This window comes from Homo sapiens, chromosome 8, assembly GCF_000001405.40.
Source record: "Homo sapiens chromosome 8, GRCh38.p14 Primary Assembly".
NCBI lineage: Eukaryota > Metazoa > Chordata > Mammalia > Primates > Hominidae > Homo > Homo sapiens.
In genome coordinates this window covers 114,453,077-114,459,815 of record NC_000008.11, presented here as the reverse complement: position 1 = coordinate 114,459,815, position 6,739 = coordinate 114,453,077, and positions in this window count along the sequence as shown.

The following is a 6,739-nucleotide window of genomic DNA, read 5'->3' as shown; positions in this document are numbered from 1 at the left end:
TTTTTAGACGGAGTCTAGCTCTGTTGCCCAGGCTGGAGTGCAGTGACGCGATCTCGGCTCACTGCAAGCTCCGCCTCCCGGGTTCACGCCATTCTCCTACCTCAGCCTCCGGAGTAGCTGGGACTACAGGCGCCCACCACCACGCCTGGCTAATTTTTTTGTATTTTTAGTAGAGACGGGGTTTCACCGTGTTAGCCAGTATGGTCTCGATCTCCTGACCTCGTGATCCACCCGCCTCGGCCTCCCAAAGTGCTGGGATTACAGGCGTGAGCCACCACGCCCGGCCTAGTGATGCCATTTTTACAATGTGAATCTTCTAATATAATGCAATCGGAAGGGCAGCTCACCCTTGGATATTCTTCAAAGAAATCCTTACACTCTCAGTGAAAAAATACCAGACAATCCCAAGTTGAGGGCCATTCTACAACCAATTTGAACAGTATTCATAAAATTATGAAGAACAAGAAAAATGTGGAAAAACTAAAAGTGTCGCAGACTGGCAGAGACTAAGGAGCCATGACAACTAAATGCAATGTCGTGTCTTGAAATGGATCTTAGACAAGTATGGTTCTTAAAAACAACTATAGTTTTTTTTTTGTAGATTAACATCAAGCTGTTTTTTACTAAAATTAAAGTTTTCTTTTTCATTATTCAAAAACAAGGAATAGAGTAGGAAAAACTCTACACACACACACTCATATATATACCTTATGGTATATACACACAAATACACATGTACACATATATGTTCATAAATATGAAATAATGTTTAAAGCATAAAAGTATGCTCTAATTCAATCAATAAAATCAAATAATCCAGTAGAAGAATGAGCAAAAATCTCAATAAAGTTACTTCATCAAAGAAAGTAGCCAAATGGAAATGTTGCTCAATTACTTAATATTACTTAATTAACAAAAGGATACACATTCAAACTGCACACTAATTTGAATGGCTCTAAATACACATGATATTTTTACTGGCCAGCATGTTAATTAATTAGAAGTTACATACACTACATAATCGGATAAAACTATTTTGGAAAATTATTTGATAGTTACTACTACTGGTGTGTACATACATGTGTTACGGTCTAGCATTTCTATTTATAAATACATACCCAATAGAAATATGTTGATAAATTCACCAAAAGATGTGTACAGTAATGTCCATAGAAGCTCTGTTATCAATAGTCAGAACACAAAAACAATTTAAATATCAACTAAGAGAACGTGATAAAAATATTTGATATATGTTTACAATGAATTATTACAGCACAATTAAAATAAACTATTGCTACACACTGTGACATTGATGTACATCACCATAATAGTGTACTAAATAAGCTGGACAAAAAGAGTCTGTACTGAATGATTAATTTACATACAGTGATTAAAAATACAAATCTAATCCATGAGATTGAAATGCAGGTAAATAATTGCCCTTCAGGCAGTGACTGGAATGGGGCTCAGGGGAAAGGAGAGGAGCTCCTGTGTGGAACATAATATTGTATTGCATAAGTTATTAATATATAAGTATGTTCATTTTATAAAAATTAATTTTACAGTAGACTTATGATTTCTGAATTTTATAAATATATACTATACCACAATAGAACGTTAGTAACAAAATAAATTATTAATGTAAGACCATCATTGGTCAATTTCCTTAGTTCATAAATAGTTATTTTAAGAGAGTAGGAAATAACACAAAACAAGTGTTATTTTAAAAATAGAAGCATGAGAAGATGAATCTAAAATGAATTCTATATATTAATTTTCTTCTAAGTACTTAGTTTATACAAGGGATCTCAAGGCCATGATATTATAAAGTGACAACAGAGCCAGCAATATATTTGGAAATAAACATATTGTAAAAAAACATTTAAAGAGACAAGAATTAATGATATCAGAATTAAAATGAGTTTAGAAAAATATGCTTATCCGTATACTTTAATTTTTCAATATATTCTTCAAATCCTCTTTAAGGACATTTATTCTGGTAATCTAGAGTAAGAAAGTAAGGAAAACAGAATAACACTATGCATTTTATATTGATTTTGTAATTCATATGTCACACTATTATATTATTTGAATAAGAGATTTAAAATATCTCAATTCTAAGATGGTGTATACATTTTAGTCTTCTTTAAATAGAGAGCCTTCCTATGACCTGTTTTTATTTCCTGGTTGCTAAAATAAGGTAACTTTATTGAGTTAAATATATCTAAATTATCAACTAACATACAGATTCTAAGACATCAACAACCTTGAACTTCTTGCAACTGGAACTGGCAACTGGCTGGGTTTTTTTTTTTTTTAAGACACTTTGATAACATTAAATATTTCTATTTTAGTATTTCCAAAACAGTTGAATTGCATGAACTTAGTGCCTGCATATTGGAAGATTTAGTTACCATAGTGAACAAAAACATGTGCTCTAGCAAATCTTATTTTATAATAAGAGCATTTTCTCTCTTATGCTCTTTATAATATGCTCATGTAGTAACATGAATAAGAGTGAAAAATAATAATGTGTTGACAGTTCAGATTAGCTCCTTAAACTTGCATCTGAGTTTTCTTTAAGATCTTGGTTTTCAATAGATGTCTGGAAAGTATGGTAACAAATGAGCAATAACCATATCTGTCACAGGTATTTTGCCAAATAAAATAAAGCATAATTTTTATTATGCCAGACAATTTCAATTTATTTAAACAGAGGGAAAAAAAATGAATTTGAGTAAAAGTAGACGGGTTTTGAGTGGGTATGCTAAAACATGCTGTTCACATTCAAGTTTTCTTTGCATGATATAGATTTCCTAAAATAACACACTCGTTTTGTCATTCATTGATCAAATAATGATGGTGCTTCTACTATGTGCAATGCCTTATTATGGAAGGTCATACAAATGAACAAGACAAAGGTCCTTGCCCTCATGAAGTCTACATTCCATTGAAGAAAGTTGTGCAAACAGTGAAACATAGTTAACAAGAGACTTCTATATTATGTGGGAAATGGTAAGTGACGTGGAAAAATTATATAGTAATTAATAGCAAAGCAAGAAAAGTAAATGTGTTGATTGGCTGAGTATGCGTAGCTGCATGGCAACACTTTGTGGGGGCAGAAAATTATTCAGGGCATGTTAAAAGCCTTGAAACAGAAACCAGTACATGGTGCTTTTTGTTGTTTCTCACAACTAGGATATAAGGATCCAGGAACTCAGGGTTGGAAATAGAAGTAGAGTGTGTGGGAGGAAATGAAAGGAGATGAGAGTGGCTGGAGTTTTGCTCAAGGTGAAGAGTGTAAGAAAACATGGGTGGAGGCTGAATTATGCTGACAATTGCAGGGTTTAGGTTTTATTCTACGTGAAATAAGAAGCCTTGAAATGACTTTGATTAGGTAAGTGAAATAATAGAATATTAAGAAGCTTTTAAAATTTTTATTATTATTATTTTTTTAGCGCTCTGGCAGCATTAGGCTAGGCTGGAACAAGTGAACGGGCTGGGGGTTTTGCAGCAGGTATGGAGATTGACGTCACTTTCTGGGTAATGCTGTTGGATGGGGAGTTGGAGAAAAGAATGGAGACAGAATTACTGATTGGTTATATGTTTGGGATAAGGGGGAAAGGAAGTGGAGATAAAGTATGGGTCGAACATTTCTAGTTTGAAGAGTAGCTTAGATAAATATGATAATTATTGCGATAAGACAGAATGTGAGGTACTAGGTATGGAGAAAGATGTTTTGACTTGGTGAGAAAATCCGAGATAAATATTTAGGATATATTTAGTTTCAGATAAATTTGAGACTTGGAAGAGGAGATGTCAATTACTTAGATAGGGATCTCATAGAAAATTTCTTAGCTAGAGATACAAATGTGACTGTAAACTGGATACATGTATTTTTACTTTTTTAAACATTTCTTAGCTAGAGATACAAATGTGACTGTAAACTGGATACATGTATTTTTACAAATATGACTGTAAACTGGATAAATATATTTTTTACACTTGGATAAATGTATTTTTTAATACATGGATATTACTTTTTTTTAATATCGAGGAATAAACAGAGAGCCAAAAATTGTGGCTGAAAAGTTCTTTATCCTGAATTCAAATAGAGTATGTGAGCCTATAAAATAAATTAAAAAGCATCCAGAGAGATGAAGATGAAGAGAAAGGTGAAAAGGGGGAAGAAAGAGGAGGAAGAAAAAATAAAGACTTAAAAAAAAAAGTAATGAGAGACAAAATAACATTTTTTTAAAGGAGGGAGTGGTCTATTAGATGTAAGTCTTTTGAGGATTTGAGTAAAAGTCAGTGGGGATCTACATACCCCATTCTTGTTCCGTGGTACCTGACACAGGTCATTGGTAACCTTAACAAAAGCATTTTCAGTAGGATGGTTTGAAGCCAGAATCCAGAACAAGGTGGACTGAGGTATGAATGAAAAAGGAAGAAGTAACATTAACCTCTTTAGACATTTTAAAAATAAATTTGGATATATATAGCACAGAAATGTGACAATAGAAGAAAATATGGGGCAAAGAAATGATACCATTTGTATTCTGGCTGAAATTTGTTGCCACCTGGGAAATTTTATTTGCAGTAAGTTTAATAGGTAGAGAAGAATGTATAAGGCTTAAATCTAAGGGCTGTGGAGTCAGACAGCTGGGCCAGATCCCATATATTTCACTTGATACCAAATATTTTGCTTGATGCCTGTTTGATCTTGAGCAAAGACACTTAACCACTCTAACCCTTAGTCTCTATCTATAATGTGTCCGTAGTATCTACCTCACAGTTTCTTGTGAGAATTAAATGAAAGAATGTACATGAAACATTCAATGGAGTCCCTAACATGTGGTAAATGGTCAATTAAGTTTGATTCTTTTATTCTTTTTTAGTCTGATTATCATTATTTCTTCCTAGTTAAACATGGTAACTACCTTTGGTCAAACTGACAGAACCAAGGATAAATGTGGAGCCTGTCTATGGTGATACTCACTTTTATTATGTTTTCAGAGAATATAAAATTATTTGCTGTGGCCTTAGTTTGCTTAGAGAATATTTCAACATTCCTACTCCTCAAATGCAGGATTTGGGAAAATTATTTTCAACAAAGGGATGGGTCAATCTTGAACTGAGGATGAGGTAATTCTACAGATTACCACTAGAGGACAGAAGAGGGTCATTTAGGAACAATTTGTTCTGGCTGCTAGGACAAGTTTCTCTACTATGGGAAACTCAGAAACCAGATGTTTCAATTAAACTCATTATTTTTAATTTAAATAATGGAGCAGAAGTCTTTCCGAGAGTCAAAGTTTGTTTTTGCATTTCAAAGGTAGTAAGGGGACAATTTTCATTTTATCATCCTGTCCTTGTACTTCTCTTATAGCTCTCTATTCTGCATTACGTTATTTTTATTTGTTTACATGCTTGTCATCAACCACTATTATATGTAAGTTTTTGAAGCCTTGGATTGAGTCTCACTTGAGCAGTTCTTTCTCTTAGTAGACTCTCTAGGGACTAGATTTCAACAGTGATTATCATAAAAGTAGAGAGAGACAACTGTAAGATAGTTTCAGGTTAATGTTTAGGGAATCCAGCATACAGGTAAAGGATACACACATTCCTCCATACATTTGATATGGACATGTGTGTAGAAAGCCAAGGTCAATGTTAGAAAAGTCAGTTAGTGTGCACTTAAAGCGTATTCTCCTGATGAAGGATCGGTGTAAAAAAAACAGAATTTATTCATTGTATAATGCACGTCCATGTCATGTGCTAACATGCATTTTTTCATTGAATACTCTCAATAATTCTGTCAGATAGAGATTCCTGTCTTTATTTTACAAATGCAGAAACCAAGACACAGAGAAGTTTAGCAACTCATGTCAAAGAACTAGTATATAGAAAAGTCACACCAGACAAGATGGGCAAACGGCAATTTATTCTGATAGAAATGCCAGCAACAGGGGAGAGAGCACAGACAAAGCCTGGAAACTCACCTTCATGGAACAAAGAGTGGGAAGAATTTTAAGAGCTAGGGTGGGTGATTCCTAGGTCATCTGAGTTTCTTAATTGGCCTTACCCAAAGGAAAGCTAAACTTTCTCTTCTTACCTTCATGGCCAGAGGTGGTTTTACAACTTGGAGCAAGGAGCCCACTGAAGTTAGTCCCCTGATCACCCACAGAGACTAGGAGCTGGGTGCACTGTCTTCCTTAATCTTTACCTTTCAAAGAGAGAGTCCCCAGGGCATCGAAAAAGAATGTCCTGGATTATAAAACTTGTAAGAGGCTTTTTAAAAATTTACATCTCAAAGGACAGAGAAATAATTTACAATGGCAAGTTTTCTAAAGTAAATGCTCTAAGAAAAGGAAAGTCAGGGACTTGGAGTCAGGAAGAAGCCTGTCCAAAGTTAAGACAAGCTGAGGTGAACATTCAGGTCAACTTGGTCAGAGTGAGGTTTAAAGTCTGGTCATTATGACACAAAATATCATGCTATTTTTACTGAAAGAATTGGACAGCACAATCTAACATAACCAATTTCATGGATATTGCTGGGCAGTAATATATATTTATTGAATAAGTGTTCTGTTCATAAAGAACAGAAACCCCCTGAATTTTATCACCCAGAGTTAGATCCAGATATAGAAATTTAAATTCAACCATACATACATACTACAATTCATATAGCTACTCCTATATGAACAAACACAATGTCTTTAGATACATCATGATCAAT